The sequence below is a fragment of the Homo sapiens genome, chromosome 11 (genome assembly GCF_000001405.40).
Source record: "Homo sapiens chromosome 11, GRCh38.p14 Primary Assembly".
Lineage (NCBI taxonomy): Eukaryota > Metazoa > Chordata > Mammalia > Primates > Hominidae > Homo > Homo sapiens.
This window is the reverse complement of record NC_000011.10, coordinates 77,500,801-77,521,173: the sequence shown is the minus strand read 5'-3', so window position 1 is coordinate 77,521,173 and position 20,373 is coordinate 77,500,801. Positions and strand designations below refer to the sequence as shown.

General features: G+C 42.6%; 1 protein-coding gene across 1 annotated transcript in view; it reads left to right on the top strand.

Annotated features, from left to right (window-relative positions):
* The window catches only part of PAK1 (p21 (RAC1) activated kinase 1), a 207,993-nt gene that overhangs the window by 8,836 nt on the left and 178,784 nt on the right, over window positions 1–20,373 (top strand). The window contains exon 2 of the mRNA XM_024448560.2: window positions 6,212–6,286. The gene's annotated coding sequence lies outside the window, so the exon portion shown is untranslated. The remainder of the gene's footprint in view (window positions 1–6,211; window positions 6,287–20,373) is intronic.

Sequence of the window (20,373 nt, the reverse complement as noted above, 5' to 3'; positions counted from 1 at the left end):
CAGAGGCAGACAATAACAGAAATTAAAAGGCACAGCACAAGTGAGCATGACTACTTCCTGCCAATTAAGCCAAGCTTCCCATAAAGGTCCCATAAAGGTCATGCTAGTATCCATGGCATAAATGAGGTCTAGGGAATTCAAAGGCTACTGACAGCAGGGAAGATAGGGCATATATGGATAAAAGTGGATACTCCCACTCCCTTGGCCTTCCTGTTAACATGGGTGAAAGCCACTTCAACACCCATGGGTGGCACCCTGTCACAGTTGCCAGGACTCGGGTATATAAGGATGGAAGAGAGAAAGAGCGACACCTCACTTTCTCTCCCTTACATACCCCGCGTATTTGCTAGGAAGAGAAAGAAACCAGGGATGCCTGGTGCCCTCTTTCTAGATGAGTAGCCATTCATCTTTCTGTACCCCTTTCAAATGTATCCTGAAGCCCTGGGACTTCTTCGAAAAACTGCCTTCTTTTTCCTTTTTCCTCCTCTGTCCTCTCTTCACTTACAGGTAATTGTGTCTCCATAGTACGGGACACTCCTCTCGGATGCATCCTCCAAACTGCATTCCCAAACCTTAAACTGGTTGGCTTAGGATTGGGCTTGGGGTAGGGAACCCAGAAGCCTGACATGCTGGCAAGAGGGTAAAAGTTTGTTTTACCAGTCAGGCTTTTGGTCTCCCTTTCCCTGTGCAAACAGGTAAAAGGCCTCAGGATTTTTGAGCTTTCCTTACCCCCACCTTGTTTCGTTTTGATACGTGTTTTCTAATAACCCGGTTTGTCTCTTCTCCCCTTCAGGCCATCACACTCTAAATGGTCATGCAACTGGAGCCTTGGATGATGGCCCTTTTTGCCAGGGACCTTTAGATAGGCCTCTGAGGGAGATCTGAGAGAGTGCCCCGTCACAGGAAGCAGTTAAGAGTGGTCTTCATCCTTATCCTTATCCTTGTCCTTATCCTTATTCTAATGCAGTAAGATGGACTTCTTTAGAGGGGGGAATGAGACAGCCAAATGCATAGGCAGATAAAAAGGGGTTCCTGGAGAACCTCTGACCAGCCCCACAAGTCTTTATATCAGATGCTTTTGTTCAGATGAGGGAACCTGCGCAGGGCTTTGCCTGACCATGCCCACATGTGCACTGGGGGAATGGGGTGGAGCCACGGGCGGAGGGGGGGGCCACAGGCCAGGGGAGGAGCCTGGCTTCCAATTCCTGTGTGGTGGCCTGGGATTCAGTCCCTGAGGTGAGAGGCCTGTTAGCAGGACTCCATCTTGCTTTGTTGAGTCTTTTTTCTTTTTCTCCCTTTTTGCCCAATGAAATCCTGCTCTATTTACCCTTCAGTGTGTCCATGTGTCTAAATTTTCCTGGCTTGTGTCTAGAACCTGGTATTAGCTGAACTAAGGAGCAAAATTCTGCAACAGTATTATCCTGCCTTCCCAATGCAATCTACATTTCCAGGTGACCAACTAGACCTAACTGATAAGGAAAAGTTCTTTACAGACGAATCCCAGCTAAAAAATGTGGTAGGAATGATAGAATTAGGAAAAAAAAACCAGCATTTTGCAAAGATCAATAAGGGATGAAAGAATTAGATTAAAAGCTTCTGGAGAACTTTACAATAGAGAGATCCGGCTGACACCCCTGGAACCACTGATCAGTGTTAACTACACTCAGAGTGGGACAGCCAGACAGTATGTACCTCTTGAGATGCCCCCTTTATGGGGAGAAAAAAGAAAAGGAACCCAAATCTAATAAGGCCTTTGGGACTAATTTTCTAGTTTACATGAAATACAGGGGATACAGACTCAAGTTTAAGTGACACTACTTATAAATAAATGGATAAATCCAGAATGTGGGATATTTTATAGAACTATTGAACTAGTTTAATCAACAAATCAATAGCATGAAAAAAAGGGTGGGGTAGAGCTGGGAGATACTGTTGTAGATTTTAAGACTCAAAAGACATAACCTTCAAATGCAATGTAACGACCTTGTTCAGATTCTGATTCTAATGAACTAACCATAAAAAATACATGTATTTAAACATCAGGAAAGTATAAAAATTATCTAAGAATTCGATGATACCAAAGAGGTGTTACTTTTGTTAGGTGTGTTGGTAGCAGTGTGGTTATGTAGAAAATATTTGTGTATGCAGTATCAAGGGAGAGATAACATGAGGTCTGAGACTTGCTTTGAAATACTCAAATAGAAAAAGGAGAGGGATACATGAAGCAAATATGGCACAATTCTAATAATTGTTGAATCTAAGTGATGGGCATTTAAACAATACGATTCTAATTTTGTTTATTTTAAACTGTTTGTATTAAAAAAGTTAGTGTGGAGACAGGCAAAATAGAATCTTCTGGATGACAATTCAGCCTGGTCCATGTATATCAATGGAACAAAATAAATGGGAAAAGTTACTGCAAATCAGACTAACTTGCTCATCTTTAGCTGTCAGCTGCCACGATGCCACAAAAGCACATCTGGTGTCAGTGATGACACTTCAGATGATGAGATCCAGGGTGGAAGGAAGGGCTGCTGGTGGGTGTAATGATTTTCTCTCTCACACATCTCATTTTTGTTAACACCTGAGGTGGCACCTCAGCAAATCCAAGCAGAGTGCCGAGTGGTTTGCAATCTTCTTTTGCATAAAAAACATACTAATTACACTCTCTTTGCTGATTCACTGGGGAATAATTTTTAGCCCTGTAAGTAGATACAACTTTTGTTTTTAAGATGAAGAATTACAAAAACCAGAGATGGCAAACACAGCCAACTGTGTGACCACTCTCCTCTCTAGAACCTGGGGCAAGTAGACTTCGTTAATTGATCACAGCTTTCTTTCCCATTAGATTTGACTTCTCACCATGCTTCTCCAGGTGACCCCATATTCATAATATCTATTTGTCCTTCCTTCATAAAAAGTATTCAAATTAATTTATAGATTAAATAACTTGCTAAGCCATTTTTTTCATTTCACAGCAGAACAAACAAGAAGAAAAATACCTTGAATACCAAGGAATTTAGACTAGATTGAATTTAAGAATAACTTTATGTGGAGATTATTGAAATCTGGAATAATTACTTAGAAAGATTAAGGTGTTTTTCTTAAAAGCCCTGTTAAAAGTGGGCAGAGTTTTATTGTCTGGAATAATCTAGAGAGGCCACACAGCAGGAGGTGAGTGGCAGGCGAGCGAAGCTTCATCTGTATTTATAGCCCCTCCCCATTGCTCTCATTACTGCCTGAACTCTGCCTCCTCTCAGATGGCATTAGGTTCTTTTAGGAGCGTGAACCCTATTGTGAAGTGGGCAAGGAAGGGATCTAGGTTGTGTGCTCCTTATGAGAATCTGATGCCTGATGATCTGTCACTGTCTCTCATCACCCTCAGATAGGACTGTCTAGTTGCAAGAAAACAAGCTCAGGGCTCCCACTGATTATGCATTATGGTGAGTTGTATAATTATTTCATTACATATTACAATGTAATAATAATAGAAATAAAGCACACAATAAATATAATGCACTTGTACATTATATTTCAGGTTTCATCCTGAAACCATCCCTCCCCACATACACACACTGGTCTGTGGAAACATCGTCTTCCATGAAACCGGTCCCTGGTGCCAAAAAGGTTGGGGACTGCTGACCTAGGACCAATGGGCTTGACAACCATTCTTTGGCATATGTCAAGCCATCTGGCATTTTTGCCTGCTCAGCATCCCTTTCCCTTCATCCCTATAATAGAATGTTATTTCCTTTGGGGAAATCTGTGTGTTTGCATAGGGCTGCCCCTTCCTTTTTACACAGTGGGGCAGACCTAGCTAATCAGATTACATCATTTCTTTGACCACAGAAGTTAATAGTAGGATGGGTGCATGACTCAAACTGGGCACATTAAAATTCTCTCCTGGCCAGATATTTTGGAAGAGTCTCTTTTTCCACTGAGTGCTAAAGTGGCTGGCTCTGAGGCTTGGGTTGCTGGTGGCTATAATGCCCTATGTGTGGAGAGAGCCAACAAAACAGAAATGCTAGAGACAATTCCTTAAATTATTTGAGCCCTGGGTTCTAATTATGCCTGAAGGAAGATTCATCCCTGGGTTATTTAAATATGAGCAGCAATAAATTGCCTTATTTTTTCTTTAGTTAGTTTATTTATTTTTATTTTATTTTTTGAGACAGGGTCTCACTCTGTCACCAACTCTAGACTGCGGTGACATGATCATGACTCACTGCAGCCTTGAACTCCTGAGCTCCAGCAATCCTCCCGTCTCAGCCTCCCAATTAACTGGGACTACAGGAATGTGCTACCGCATCCAGCTTTTTTTTTTTTTTTTTTTTTGAGAGATGGGGTCTCACTATGTTGCCCAGGCTGGTCTTGAATTCCTGAGCTCAGCTGATCCCCTCACCTCAGCCTCTCAAGGGCTAAGGTTACAGGCATGAACCACCATGCCTAGACTTTGTAGTTAGTTTAAATTGGTTAGTTTAAATTAGGGAAAGTCTTGACTAGCATGGCATGTGAGATGCTTCATTTATTCAATTAACATTTATTAATCTGCTCTAGTCACTTGACCACCCTGGAGATACAGAAACAAAAGAGTCCTTATCTCACAGTTCACAGTTAAAGAGACAGTTATAATACAGTAATTATATAATACCTGACACATTACTGCTTAATATGTTCTAAGTACTATTCTAAACATTTTACATATACTAACTTATTTAACTCTGATAACAACCCTTTGAGATAGGTTGTGTTACTTTTTCTATTTTAGAGAAGGAAAATGAAGCACAGAGAGCTTTAAAAAGTTGTCCAAGTTTACTCAGTTCAGAAGTAGAAGATCTGGAATTCAAACCCAGGTAGCCTGGCTTTTAGTCACGACATTGTATAGCTTCATTACACCTAAGGTTCAATGCTGGAGTTATACTGAAAAATAATCAATAATAATGGCTACCATACATTGAATGCACACTGTGTGTCCAGTCCTAAACTAGGTGAATTTCTGCCTTAACACATTAAGTCTTTTCAAGAATTTAATGCAGCAAAGATTATTCTTTGTGTAGTTGAGGAAACTGAGGCTTAGAGAGGTTAAGTGACTTGACCAAATTGCACAGCTAAAAACAAATGGCACAGACTGAATTTGGATCCAGTCATGTCTGCCTCTAAAGCCCTTCTTCTTTCCATCATATTACCTTGGAGGGCCTTACATTCCAACTTTTCCACTAGACGTGCAGCATTTCTAGGATGCTTATGATTGGCTGCCAGCAACCGAGAAATGAAGTCAACTTGGAGAATTTTCTAACATCAGAAAGTATGGCATATTTTGCTTGCAGCAGTGCTCTTGGAATTGGTGTATACCTTGCAACCTGATACTCCTGAACATATATTTGCTGTAGTTGAGGAGAGAGTAAGACACTTGTTGTAAACATCCCCTTTGGGAGTAAAAAAAGGATGTTATTTATTTATTTTTATGGCAGTCATTCAAATGTTGAAGGAGGAGACACTACTTTTGTGCTGCTTCCTGCCTTCAGGCCAGACCTGCAAATAAGGCCTTTGGATAAGGAATGAGTCAGGTATCCTGGGGACAAAGTGCACATTTCATAAGAAATCCGAGAATGAGAAGGTAGTATTTCGGTGGGAAGGTTTTCTATGATCCATAGAAGGCATTGTTGTCTAATAAAACCATCCCGTAACACAGGAGAAGCTGGTAATGTTCCTCCATGTAACCAAATCATGCACGGGGTTTACTGATGCTCCACATTCCTTCAGGGAAAACATATCAGCTAAGATACACCTGTATGCTTCCTCATCCAAACATTTATTAAGTGCTTACAAATCTCTTTATCTAGATTAACTCATTAAAGCCACATAACACCGCCATGACACAAATGAGAAAAATGAGGCATAAAGGACTTGACTCAGCAGCAATTGAATTATCTGCTTACCAGGAGTCAGTGACGTTTGCTAACCAGTTTTTGCCAGGCACACATGGTGTAATTAAATTAAATGTACAATGGAAACCTATGAAATATGAGTGTAAAAAGAAGTTGAGCTATTATTCCTATGAAAGCTAAGTTGGATGTTTTGGAAAGACTTTTCTCTAAAAAAATTATTGCTATTCAATTAGGTAATGTCATGCTCTTTTCCTCCTCTTTGCCTGTTGCTGCTAATTAGAAGGACTTTTCTCATATTTTCCTCCTTCAAATGTATCCTCCAGGATCCAGCTCAACTATGATCTTTTTTGAGAAACCTCGGATGGTCTGAGTTCTACCAGTTCTGCTACTCATTAGTGGTGAGTTGCTTAATGTCTCTGAGCCTTAGAGTCTGCACCTGTGCAGGATTGTTATGAGGATTGAGATGATGCTTATTAAGTTATCTGGTCCACAGCAGGTACTCGATAAATGGCCCTAATTTTGATGTGCTGATCTCATGTTAGGAGCTATGGAAACTGATGAACGAGACAGTCCCTGCCCAGGAAGCCTCAGACTAACACATCACTGCCTGCTTTTGGCTCCACTTGTCCCTTAGTGAGCTGAAGCAGATTTTCATAAATGTAGATGGAAACTTTTCTAGATGTTTTTAGACACCAACACCATTATGTCATCCAGGTTTTCAGTTAACATTTGATTTATTAACTAATCCTGAAGAGCGCCAGCACAGGTGACTGTCTTTATTTATTTATTTTGAGATGGAGTTTTGCTCTGTCGCCCAGGCTGGTGTGCGGTGGTGTGATCTCAGTTCACTGCAGCCTCTGCCTCCCAGGTTCAAGTGATTCTCCTGCCTCAGCCTCCCAAGTAGCTGGGATTACAGGTGTCCGCCACTACACCCGACTAATTTTTTGTATTTTCAGTAGAGATGAGGTTTCACCATGTTGGCCAGGCTGGTCTTGAACTCCTGACCTCAAGTGATCCACCCGCCTCAGCCTCCCAAAGTGTTAGGATTACAGGCGTTAGCCACCGTGCCCGACTGTGACTGTCTTATACTTAGTCACAAAATGATTTGTCCTGAAGCTTAAAGGGGCCATAGGAATAACTTCAAAAGGAATAGGTTCCCATTCATGGAAGCCACATGGAGCAGGCTCTGGAATCTCTCCAAATTATGGGTTCAAATCATGGCTCTACCATTCACTGGCTGTTTGACCTTGGGAAAGTTATATAATGACTCTTATCATTCCTTATCAGTAAAATGAGGATAATAATTCTCATTTCATATAAATGGAATAAGGAGCAAATGAGATGAAGTGACAGGTGTCCAGCACAGTACTTGGCACATAATAAATACCTAATAAATGTGTTAGTCTCCTAATAGGGGACTATAAGTAGGTGGGAATATAGAGAGGACATTCTTAACCGTGAGCTAAGGAATAGCAGGCAGGCCTTCCTTCAATACTTCCTTTCCACCATCATCACAAAGACTCTGATCTGGGTAGCCTATTGCTTTGTCCGTGCACACAGTCTCTTCTCGGTCTTTCAGTAGAAATGCTTTTTTTTTTTTTTTTTTTTTTTTTTTGAGACAGAGTCTCACTTTGTTGCCCAGGCTGGAGTGCAGTGGCCCGATGTTGGCTCACTGCAACTTCCACCTCCCGGGCTCAAGTGATTCTCCCACCTCAGACTCCCTAGAAGCTGGGACTACAGGGATGTGCCACCATGCCAGGCTAATTTTTTGTATTTTTAGCAGAGACGGGATTTTGCCATGTTGGCCAGGCTTGTCTCGAACTACTGGCCTCAAGTTGATCCGCCTGCCTCAGCCTCTTAAACTGCTGGGATTACAGGCATGAGCCACCATGCCTGGCCAGAAAGACTATTAATCAAATTCATATTCCATTATTTACTTGCAGGATTATCTTGAGAGAGGTAATATCAACTAAGATATACCTGTATACTTCCTCATCCAAACATTTATTAAGTGCTTACAAATCTCTTTATCTAGATTAACTCATTAAAGACCCATAACACTGCCATGATACAAATGAGAAAAATGAGGCATAAAGGATTTGACTCAGCAGCAACTGAATTATCTGCTTACCTGGAGTCAATGACGTCAAAGAGTCAAAGAGCCTCTGGAAATCTCATTTTCTTTTCTTTTTCTCTGAGACAGGGTCTCAGTCCATCGCCCAGGCTGGAGTGCAGTGGCGCCATCATAGCTCACTGTATGACTTCCTGGGCTCAAGCCATCCTCCCACCTCAGCTTCCCAAGTAGCGGGGACTACAGGTGTGTGCCACCACGTCCAGCTAATTATTGTATTTTCTGTAGAGACAGGGTTTCGCCATGTTGCCCAGGCCAGTCTCGAACTCCTGGGCTCAAGCGATCTACCTGCCTCAGCCTCCCAAAGTGCTGAGATTACAGGTGTGAGCCACCACGCCTGGCCTGGGAACCTTATTTTCTTTATAATATGCAGATACAAGTGAATACACCTTGGAAGGATGATGAAAGGAATAAAAATAGTGAAAAGCATCTAAGCCACTGCTGACACATAATAGGTACTCATAGGTATTCAATGCATTGTAGCTAGTAATAGCATAGTAGGAAACCTCGTCTATGAACTAGAAGTTGGTCAATTAATTGAAAAAGTTGATTATAGGAGGGAATCTTCCTTAAAAAAGGATACAATCATTCTTCCCTTCACCATGCTCTACTGGTACCACTGAGAGCATCAAACCTGTACCATTACAATCCCCAATACTAGCTCCCATCCCCACTCCTGGCCTGTACCAGTAGACATGAGTCACCTACAAAGATTAGAAATACTGCTCCAAACACAAAGTTTGGTCTGCAAATTTGCAGGTTTTCCTGCTCACAGAGACCACACAAATGACCACATACTGGGGTAGAAGGAGAAGAGGGTGGGGGTGGCACTCACCATGGACCACAGAAGAGGAAGATGGGGAGAAATCTGAAATAGGGGGAGGGGAGGGAAAACTGGAGGCAGGAGGAACCACAAAGGGGGAACTGCTTCGGTGACCAGCTGTCCTTCATGTTGCTGTCTGGAGTGGACTATCAACTGCCTGCAAAATTCGGTTGCCCATGAGCAACCAATTTGAAATGAGCTCTTCTACCCTGGAGGCAGTGGCCTGCTTTCCTTCCCCACTGGACCCTTCCCATGTTAGCAGTATCGACTCTTGTAAGCCCCAGAACATAAAGTGAGGGGACCTGGCCTCCTCAAGGGGTTAAGGTGCCCTGAAGGGAAATCCTTATCCCCCTACCAAAGTGAGACTGGACATAATTAGCTTGACCTTGCCTTTGTGTTGGGATGGTGTGGAACGCCCCCCAACCCCTTCCTTGTTATGCATATTGCAAGCTGCAAACACTAAGGATTTGGGGCAATGTGTTTTTAAGTCAAACTGGAGACTACCCCCACTCTGAGCTGGGACATAGAGTCAATGCAAAACCCACTTGTCAAAAACAATGTTCATATTTTAATCAAATGCACACTTCTGATTTAGTTGCTCATGCAGCTTATAATTAGACCTTGTTTTAGGGGACAAAAATTTAAAGCAGCTGTGTTTCAGTGCTATTCAGATCTGTGACTGACCCAGTTTTTAAAAGTTAAAAAATGTGGCATTGCTACTTGTCACGTCTTGGCACCTGGCTTACACTCTGGTAAGATGAGTGTTGGGAAGTATTTTCTGAGCTGTGAGCATGGAAGAGGAAGGGCCTTGGAGCTGAGGGCATTGTATATATAGCCTGCAGGCAAAACTCCGGAGACATAGATAGCTATCTCTGAGATTTAGTGCTGAAAGGAATAAAAATAATAAAAAGCATCTAAGCCAGTGCTGACACTGAAAAGAAGATGGCAGGACAGACTCCTAGACTCACCTTAACAAGACTCCAGACTCACCATAACAAATGATAGATCTTAGAGACAAATCATTGTGGAGGTGTGTATGCTGGTGTTCTCGATGTTTTTGCCACCACCATCCTGATGGCAGAAGTGAGCTATAAAGCTGAAGCCTTAATAATAAATCCTGCCCCCCTTCCCTGTGTGCAGAGCTGTCAGGTTCCTTCCTCAACCCTTGCAAGAAAGAAGATGGTTTATTCTAAAGAAACTGAGTGAATTAGGACTAGACTGTATTTCAGGATTGCCAAATACTGTATAATGGTTGGTTCCCTGTCTGCTCGTTATGAAAAAAAGCTTTCAGTAACACAACTCCCACCTACCTTCCCACACAGAAGTCATAGTCAGCTCTTCTTTGCCCACCTTCTCAAACATGTGCAAGCAAAAACATTTCAGTAAAACAAAAAGGATAAGTTAAACTAACAGAAAGAAACAATGCTGGAGGAAGGGGAGATCACTCAGAGGAATAAGCCAAATAAATAAAATAAACAAATTTAAAAGAATCACCCTCCTTAGTATTCTCATAAAGATGATGCATCCACAAAATAAGAACAGGTTGCTATGAAAAGGGAAGACCTCACAGTGCAAGATAGAGGCTTTCCCAAAGTTGATAACAATCCTAACAGTTTAGAGAACATTACGAATAATATCATATGTGAAGCACAAAGAAACTTCCAAATTATCAATTGCAAAGAACAAACTTTGGTCAACCGTAGAGACAAAACTGAATATCTTTCCATTTGTTGAACTGAAAATGATATTACAAAATCATTGTCCTAAGAAGAGCCTATCAAAGAGTAAACAGCTGGCCAGGTGCGGTGTACACACCTGTACACACCTGTAATCTCAGCACTTTGGGAGACTGAGGTGGGGGAATCATGAGATCAAGAGATTGAGACCATCCTGGACAACATGGTGAAACCCCGTCTCTACTAAAAGTACAACAATTAGCTGGGCATGATTGCACATGCATTATATTGAGAGTGTGTTGCAAGTTGTTTAAATAGCACCCTTTCACAGGCAGTCACACGTATCACCACAGAAGTATGACCATGAAAACAAAATTTAGAGAGGTAATATTTACATTGGCTTTAGCAATGGGGGTATGGCTAAGTCATAAGTGAATCACAAAGTACACGTCTTAATATCCAGTTATTAGCAGATTATAGGACAAAAATGCTACTGGTGAAAATATGTCTCCCTACATGTTCTATAATGCTTAACAACCTAAACCAAAAAGGGAAAGGTAAGCTAACAGTTATTTAAAATTAAAGAGGAAGAATAACAGCAATTGAAAATCATGACAAACTCAAGACAACACCAATGATTTGATGATCTGATAACAGAGAGTCTATTCCCCAAATTCAGGGCATTCCAGCTATGTTAGGCCATTTGTGCATTGCTATAAAGAAATACCTGAGACTGGGTAACTTATACAGAAGAGAGGTTTAATTGGCTCATGGTTCTGCAGGCTGTACAGGAAGCAGGGCACCAGCATCTGCTTGGCATCTGGGGAGGCCTCAGGGAGCTTTTACTCATGGTGTAAGGTGAAGCAGAAGTAGGCACTTCACACGGTGAGAGCAGGAGTAAGAGTGAGTGTGGTGGGAGGTGCCACATACTTTTAAATGACCAGATCTCACAAGAACTCATTCACGATCACAAAGACAGCGCCAAACCATAAGGGATCCACCCGCCATGAACCAACACCTCCCACCAGGCCCTACCTCCAGCATTGGGGATTACAATTCAACATGAGATCTGGGTGGGGACAAATATCCAAACTATATCACCAGTTATCTGTGTGAGGCCATGAACAGTAGGAGGCAAACTGGGGTTGCCACAATTGGCCTGGGAGACAAATTTCCTAGTGGAATACTGAAAATTTAGAGGCTTTAATAAACTCTTGTAACAGCCCAGTGTTTGTTTATGAACATCACATTTTATAATGGATAATTCATTTAGTAGTTTACTAGTGAAAATATAGATTTATAAAATTATTAATTTGGGGGTCCATTTGAGGTACATCAGCAAGACTCAGGCCCATCAGCAGATGCTGGCTCATTTTATTTTATTTTATTTATTTTTTTGAGGTGGAGTCTCGCTCAGTCGCCCAGGCTGGAGTGCAGTGGCGCGATCTTGGCTCACGGCAAGCTCCGCCTCCCGGGTTCACGCCATTCTCCTGCCTCAGCCTCCCGAGTAGCTGGGACTACAGGCCCTCACCACTGCACCCAGCTAATTTTTTGTATTTTTAGTAGAGACGGGGTTTCACCGTGGTCTCCATCTCCTGACCTTGTGATCCGCCCGCCTCGGCCTCCCAAAGTGTTGGGATTACAGGCTTGAGCCACCGCGCCCGGCCAGATGCTGGCTCATTTTAAAGAATCCCTGGGCCGGGCGCGGTGGCTCACGCCTGTAATCCCAACACTTTGGGAGGCCGAGGCGGGCGGATCACTAGGTCAGGAGATCGAGGCCATCCTGGCTAACACGGTGAAACCCCATCTCTACTAAAAATACAAAAAAATTAGCCGGGCATGGTGGTGGGCGCCTGTAGTCCCAGCTACTCAGGAGGCTGAGGCGGGAAAATGGCGTGAACCCGGCAGGCGGAGCTTGCAGTGAGCCAAGATCGCGCCACTGCACTTCAGCCTGGGAGACAGAGCGAGACTCCGTCGCAAAAAAAAAAAAAAAAAAGAATCTCTATGTAGGGGAGAGGCATAGAGAATTAGAGTCAGAAAAGGCTGGTCTTCAGTGCCCACTTATGAGACCACGAGCAAATTCTTAGCTGCTCTGAGCTTTAGAATTTGCGGCACTCAGTGGTTTGCTGGAACTGGCCAGTTGTTAAACCACTGATAGTTTAATATCAACTATGGTGGGAGGAGTTACGAAAATTGACAAACACCTCAAATTAGGGATGTCTTTCTCTCACAGGACAGGTTTACCAACATACTGCTGTCACACTCCCCTCCAATGTGCACCAAATCACGTAAAAATGGGGATAATGACTCCCCTGTAAGAATTAAATTGTTTTGGTATTGAACCAAACCTAGGTAATCAATAAACATTTTATAGGGTGGCTGCCAGGCATGATCACATGTAATTCCCAAGGCAGCCTGTGGAGGTAGGCAGTAGTATCTCCCAGGATAATCATGTGTTTTGCAATGCATGAAATCGAGCTACTAAAATATGCACCATCACAAATGAATCTCATAGCTTTCAGTGAGAGAAGTCAGACACAAAGTAACACATACTGTATGATTCCATTTATATGAAAAATTAAGAACTGATGAAAGTTCAGAAACTGAAAGAAGGTTATAGAAGCCAGAAGAATGCTTATCCCGGTGGGGAGAGGGGTGGGACTGATAAGGGGCATGAAGGAAATGTTGGAGTGCTGGAGAGATCTGGATGGTGGTTACACAAATGCATATAGATGCAAAAATTCATCATTATATACTCTTGAGATTATTGCATCTTATAGTAGATACTTTTTACCTGAATAAAAAAAGTTTGGTAAAAGGTATATTGGGGAGCCAGGTGTGGTGGCTCATGCGTGTAATCCCAGTGCTTTGGGAGGCCAAGGTGAGAGGATTGCTTGAGGCCAGGAGTTCAAGACCAGCCAGGGCAATGTAGGGAGACCCCATCTCTATAAAATTATTTTTAAAAATTAAAAATAGTTTGGTGGTGTGCACCTGTGGTCCTAGCTACTCGGGAGGCTGAGTTGGGAGGATTGCTTGAGTCTGGAGGTCGAGTTAGCAGTGAGCTATGATTGCACTGCTGTAACTCCAGCCTAGGAGACAGAGTGAGACCCTGTCTGAAAAAGAAAAAAAAAGTATATTGGATTTGAAATTAGAAAAAGAAGAATCTGAGAAGGCATGTTTTATAAACTGGAAAGCACTGTTCAAACCTTAGTTGCTCTTAACATGCATGTTGCTCTTAATGTGCTTAAAGAAGGCAGAGCTGCAAAGCCTCTTTTACCTTCAAAATCTGAGTGTCCCCTTGCTGGTTAGAGACGTAGACCAGAGGACCCCGTGAAGGAGAGAATCTTAAGGTGCTCTGGTTGCTGATGGCCTTTGACAGCCCCCCTGGCCCCTGGTTGCTCCCCATCTCTGGCCACTCATCAGTCTCTCTAAGGTTCACTTGCTTTTCCTCTGTTACTCTTTTAAAGGCTAGGGTCCCCAGAGCTCTGTCTTTACAACTGTCCTCACTCTACATGCTGCTGACCAGCTGTGTAGCTCCAGTTCTCATTGTAATTTCCTAACCTCCAATTCAGAGCTTTTTTCTCTGCTAGATCCATACTCGGTCATTCAACAACTATTTATGGGGTTATCTTCTTATGCCAGGTATTGTTCTTGGCACTGGGCCAGACCAGTGAATGAACTAGATGAAGATCTTTATCTTCATGGAGCCTATATGCTTAAATCACGCTCCTTGGATGTGCTCAAAACTCAGTCTTTCTCATATTATCTCACTGTTTTTATCCCTTGCTTCTCCCCAACCCTAAGTTTGCTCCTCCCATGTACCCCCCAATCTCTATGAAATGCACTGTTATTCTCTCAGAAACCTGGGAGTTATCCCTGGCCCCACTTTAATAAATCATCGTATGTCATAGGTCCATCAGGAAGAAAATAAATAAATAAACCACCATATGTTGACTATTCTGATTCCTTAATTTCTTTCAACCACCCCGACAACCCACCATTTTTCCTGTATTGTCACCAACCCCTCCTCCATTCCCCTTCTCACCTGGCTTACTGTTCTCTCTGTCTTGTCCCTGCCTGTCATTCTCCATACAGTAGTTATTAATAGGATGATTATAAAATACAAATCGGAACTGGCTGCTTTCTGCCTAAACCTGTCCAGTGGGCCTGCCAGCTAAAAATCTAAATTCCTTACCTTGTCCTTATGTCCTCAATTGTCAGGCACAGTAGTGACAAGCAAAGCTGCTGAAACCTGGGTTTAAATCCAGGTTTGATCTGGCATGACCTTGGGCAATTTTTTGAATCCTCTCTATGCCTTACTTTCCTACCTATAACATGGGAGTAATAACAGCTCCAACCTCATGTCGTTGTGGGGTTAAATTTGTTACTTCATGCAAAGCCCTGAGAATAGTGTCTAGCCTTCCGTCTATGTACAAGAAGAGCTGGTTTTCTCTCTTACAGGGTTGCTGTAATGTTTAAATGAGTTAAAACATGCAAGGGGCTTGGCACAGTGCCTGGCCCATTGTAAATGTCTTTAAATGTCAGTCGTTGGTTATCATTGCCTCTCTAATCTCACTTCATGCCCCTTTCCATCCAAACCTGACTGGGAGCCCTGCTGGACTGGCTGCAGTTTTCTCTCTTATACCTCCAGGCCTTGATGTTCCTCCCTTGCCACCTTTTTCCTCCCCAGCTCCCACTAATCCCTCAAATCTCAGCTCAGGCACCAGTCCCTGGCGCCGGACCTGGCTGGGCTGATTGCTCCTTCTTAGGACCTGCTCTTACTTCTAACACAGCACTGTTCACACTTCTTGTCACTGTTTATTTAAAATGTACTGAGAAGCCCCCATCAACAGATGATGATAAACAAAATGTGACATATACATACAATGGGATATTATTCATCCTTAAAAAAGAAAGTATTTCTGCAACACCTATGACATGGATGAAATTTGAGGATGTTACTGGAAATAAGCCAGTCACAAAAGGACAAATACTGTGTGATTCCACTTACGTGAGATACCTGGGATAGGCAAATTCATAGAGGCAAAAAGTAGAATGGTGGTTATCGAGGGCAAGGGATGGGGAGAGGAATGGGGAGCTGTTGTTTAATGGATATGGAGTTTCAGTTTGGGAAGATGAGAAAAGCCAGATAAATAAATAGTAGCAATGGCCAGGCATGTTACCTTACGCCTGTAATCTCAGCACTTAGGGAGGCCAAGTTGGGTGGATCACTTGAGGCCAGAAGTTTGAGAGCAGCCTGGCCAATATGATGAAATCTTGTCTCTACTACGAATATAAAAATTAGCTGGGCCTGATGGCAGGGACCTGTAATCCCAGCTACTCAGGAGGCTGAGGCAGGAGAATCGCTTGAACCCGGGAGGTGGCGGCTGCAGTGAGCTGAGATTGCACCACTGCGCTCCAGCCTGGGGGACAGAGCAAGACTCCATTTCAAAAAAAAAAGAAAAAGAAAAAATAGTAGCAATGGTTGCACAACACTGTGAAAGTACTTAATGCCACTGAATGGTACACTTAAAAATGGTTAAAATGGTAAATTTTACATGATGTATATTTTACTGCAATAAAAAATAAATTTTAAAAAGTGTACAGAGAAGCAGTTTTAGCCTTGTGGTTCTCATCCTGGCTCCAGATCGTGGCTCCACTAGGCTATCAGGCTGTGTGATCTGGTGGCAAGTATCTGACTTTTCTATACTTCAGTTTCTTCATCTGTAAAAGTAGGCAAATTTCCCTCACACAATTGTTTGAAGATTAAATGAAGTAATGTCTGTAGAATACTTGATATGGTGTCTGGATAATGGTGAGCACTCATAAGTGTTTTCAGGTGCCTAACACCTTAGGTGCTCAATGCACGTATATGCAATGAATGAATGACTGAACAGTCTTCTATTTCAAGTCCCTACCTCAGCAATCCTTAAGTATGGTATAAGAACACAAGAGATCCCCAAAACCTCTTTCAGGTGTCCATAAAGTTAAACCCACTTTCATAATAATACTAAGGTATTATTTGTCTTTTTCAGTCTCATTCTCACACAAGTATATGCAGTATGAAAAGCTCATTGATATGATTTCAGATTCCACATTGCAACAACCTTTGAGAAACTCCCACTCGTCAAGTTTTAATGTGGTGTCAAAGAAGAATATTCAAACTTATCAGAAAAAAGCAATTAGAATACTCCTGCCTTTTCTAGCCACACATAAGATTTTTTTCATTATACTTCAACCCAAAGAACACACTGAAACAGATTGAATGTAGAAGCAAATATAAGAATCCAGCTGTGTTCCATTAATCTAGGTAGTAAAGAGATTACAAAAATATAAGGAATGCTACTCCTTTCACTATTTTTTTTTTTTTGCTTTAGAAAGTGTAGTTATTTTTCATGGAAATGTGCTATTTATATTAACAAACTAATAATTTATTAAGGTTGTTTTAAAATAAATTAATAGGGGCCGGGTGCAGTGGCTCACGCCTATAATCCCAGCACTTTGAAAGGCTGAGGCGGGCAGATCACTTGAGGTCAGGAGTTTGAGACCAGCCTGGCCAACATGGTAAAACCGCTGTCTCTATTAAAAATACAAAAATTAACTGAGTGTGGTGGTGGGTGACTATAATCCCCGCTACTTGGGAGGCTGAGGCAGGAGAATTTCTTGAACATGGGAGGCAGAGACTGCAATGAGTTGAGATCGCGCCACTGCACTCCAGCCTGGGCTGGAGAGAGAGGAGACTCCATCTCAAAACAAAAAAAAGATTCATAAATACTTTATTTTATTACTAATTAATTTATTTTTGAGACAAGGTCTTGCTCTGTTGCCTAGACTGGAGTTGAGTGGTGCGATCATGGCTCACTGCAACCTCGACTTTCTGGGCTCAAGTGTTCCTCCAGAGTAGCTGGGACCACAGGCATGTGCCACCACACCCAGAAAATTTTTAAACTTTTTTTATAGAGGTGGAATCTCATTTTGTTGGCCAGGTTGGTCTTGAACTCCAGGGCTTAAGCAATCCTCCCATCTTGGCCTCCCAAAGTGTTGGAATTACAGGCATGAGCTACCATGCCTGACCTAATACTTTATAACTTCCAATTTCAATTTCTAATATGGCTAATATTGATAGAGATAACCCACATAAACAACATTCTTTGGGGTTCTCAATAATTTTTAAAAGTGTAAAAAGGTCCTGAGACCAAACAGTTTGAGAACTGCTGTCTTGCCTTGCACTTGAACCGCCACCAACCCATCCAGGGCAATTGGCCTCAGCATATGCTTTAATGCTGCATAGGATGGGGAGGCCACCACCTCCTGGAGCAGCTGGTTTTATCTTTGCACTACTCTGTTTGCTAAGAAGTTCTGGCAGTGAGTCAAAGATCTGTCTCTCGGAGGCTCCCACTGATTGGCCTTAGACCCACTCCTTGGTTTTACACATTGCAGTTTGGAACCCTCTTCCAGGTCTGGAAGATAGTCATCGATTGCCCTTTGTGGTGGCCCCAGAGGGAATCAGCCCTTCCTTCTGGTGACTAAAGTACAGATGCATTTTTCAGAGTCAGCCAGTGATTTGCAGGAGGCATTGCCAAGCCAGATAACTCACAGCTGCTTTCCCAGGAACCCGAAGATCATCTCCAACCTCACATCAAATTTGAGAAATTCATGTTGTTATTGTTTTCCTCCATAAGTTAATTTTTTTCCATTATAAATCACACGTGCTTATTAAGGAAAATAAAGAAAAGTAAAAAGAAAAGAGGCTTGAAAAGAAAATTTGGTCACAATTAGCCCTGACTTTCTTGTCTTGGCATCTCTCCTTTTTGGGCTTGCCCTGAATGCCATTCTTTTCATACAGTCCTTACAAGCAGATATGTGCACCATGCCAGCTTGCGAGGTCTGTGGGGTTGACAGAGTGCCCACTGCTTGGTGGAGTGGGACAGCTGCTGGCGAGTTCATAGCTCCTTGAGGGCAGCTGAGGCAGGGCACTCAGAGGGAACAGGAAGCTCCTGCGAAGAAGCCTGATGCTTCTGCCATCTGAAGACACTTCAGGGCAGGTCTCTTCCAGCTATGTGGGGTTAGAGAAGACTGACACTACTACAGTGGTGTCTGGTAAATTTCTTTCTGCATTTTTGCAGGGAGGGGTAAAATAAGAAGTTCCTCTGGGAATTCTACTTCTGAGAATCTATCCTAAGGAAATGATGAAAGATTTAGACACATTATGTGTCTATCATTATTCATAAAACTTGGAAATAAAACTAAATGTTTTAACAATAAACGTTTAGTTTTAAAACTGTGTGATTGTATATTCTGTGCTGGTTGAAAATAATAGACATTTATGAAGTCTTTAATGACATGGGAAAATTTCCAACATAGTATGTTAGTTGCTCTTGTATATGGCTGACATATATGTAGTTCCTGGATAAATATTTGTTGATCAAAAACTGAAAAATTAAGAAAACTTTAAAAAGAAAAAAACACATACACATGCACATACACGCACACAAAAGCAGGATACAAAACTGTATTTACAGTATAGTCTCAATTATATAAATATTTTTGTGACAAGTTGGGAATAAAAAGGTCATCTTAATCTTTGGCGCCAATATATGTCATAAGGAGAAAACTATCTTGGTGAAAACATTTAAATGCCCAGCAGGCACAGGTGTCAGCAGATTCCCAGCTCAGAGAAGGGGAAGCTGCTTTGCATGAAGCAAAGAGGAATTTGGTTTATTGCTTCTGAAAAGGAAGCAGAAGGAGGAAGATATTGGTCAGGGTGCTCACAATTGCAAATGACAAAAATTTAACTCTATCTAGCTAGACCAAAGAAAACCCAGGTATCCAGTTAGAAACGTTTGGATTCAGGGACTGGAGCTTTCCCATCCATATTTGAGCTCTCTCTTCATGTCTTGACTCTTGTTTTTCTTTATCTTGATTCATTCTCAAGCAGGCCTTCACATGGGGTGGCAAAGACACCAGGAGCAATACTGATCTTCCTATCAGAGACCCTGGGGGCAAGAGTCTTTCACTCACCAAACATTCCCACAAGCCTGTCCCTGAGCATCAGTGTGACCAGAGAGGTGGGATGCACTGACTGGTCACTTGTATGGATCACTGGAACAGGGTGGGATCAGCCCTGCTCAAGCCATTTGAGAGAAGGGGTAAGGGTGGTTCCCCAAGGGAAAGCTGTTGCTTATTACCCGAGAAGAGGGGTCGAATTCAGTGAATGCTCAGCAGGCACAGAGAAAAGATGCCACCACAGGGAGTAGAGAGAAGAGAGAAGGATGAAGAAGAGAGGAGTCAGTGGAGAGACTGAGTCCGGGTGGAGTGAAGGGCCGGGGAAGCTCCCCTCTGGCAGATAGTGGTCCTTCCATTTTGAATTGTTTGCTTTGCTATGGATGTGAAACTCTCCTGGATTTCCCCTTCATCCTCCACATTGCCAGCAAATTCTACTAACTTCAAAACTGCTCTATGGGAGTGGGTTGTTTTTTGTTTTTTGTTTTTTGTTTTTTTTTTTGAGACGGAGTCTCGCTCTGTCACCCAGGCTGGAGTGCAGTGGTGGGATCTTAGCTCACTGCAACCTCCGCCTCCTGGGTTCAAGCGATTCTCCTGCCTCAGCCTTCCAAGTAGCTGGGACTACAGGCGCCTGCCACCACGCCCGGCTAATTACCCGGGATTGGGTTTTTGGTGGAAATTGGAGGGACTAAGTTTTGAATGTGGATCTGCACACTGCAGAACAGAGGACCATGTGGGGAGCCAGGAGCCCAGAGGCTAGCTGGCTGTGGTAAGAGAAGTCTGTTGGGAAAGAACTGAATTTTTTTTTTGAAACAGTGTCTCACTCTGTCTCCTAGACTGGAGTGCAGTGGT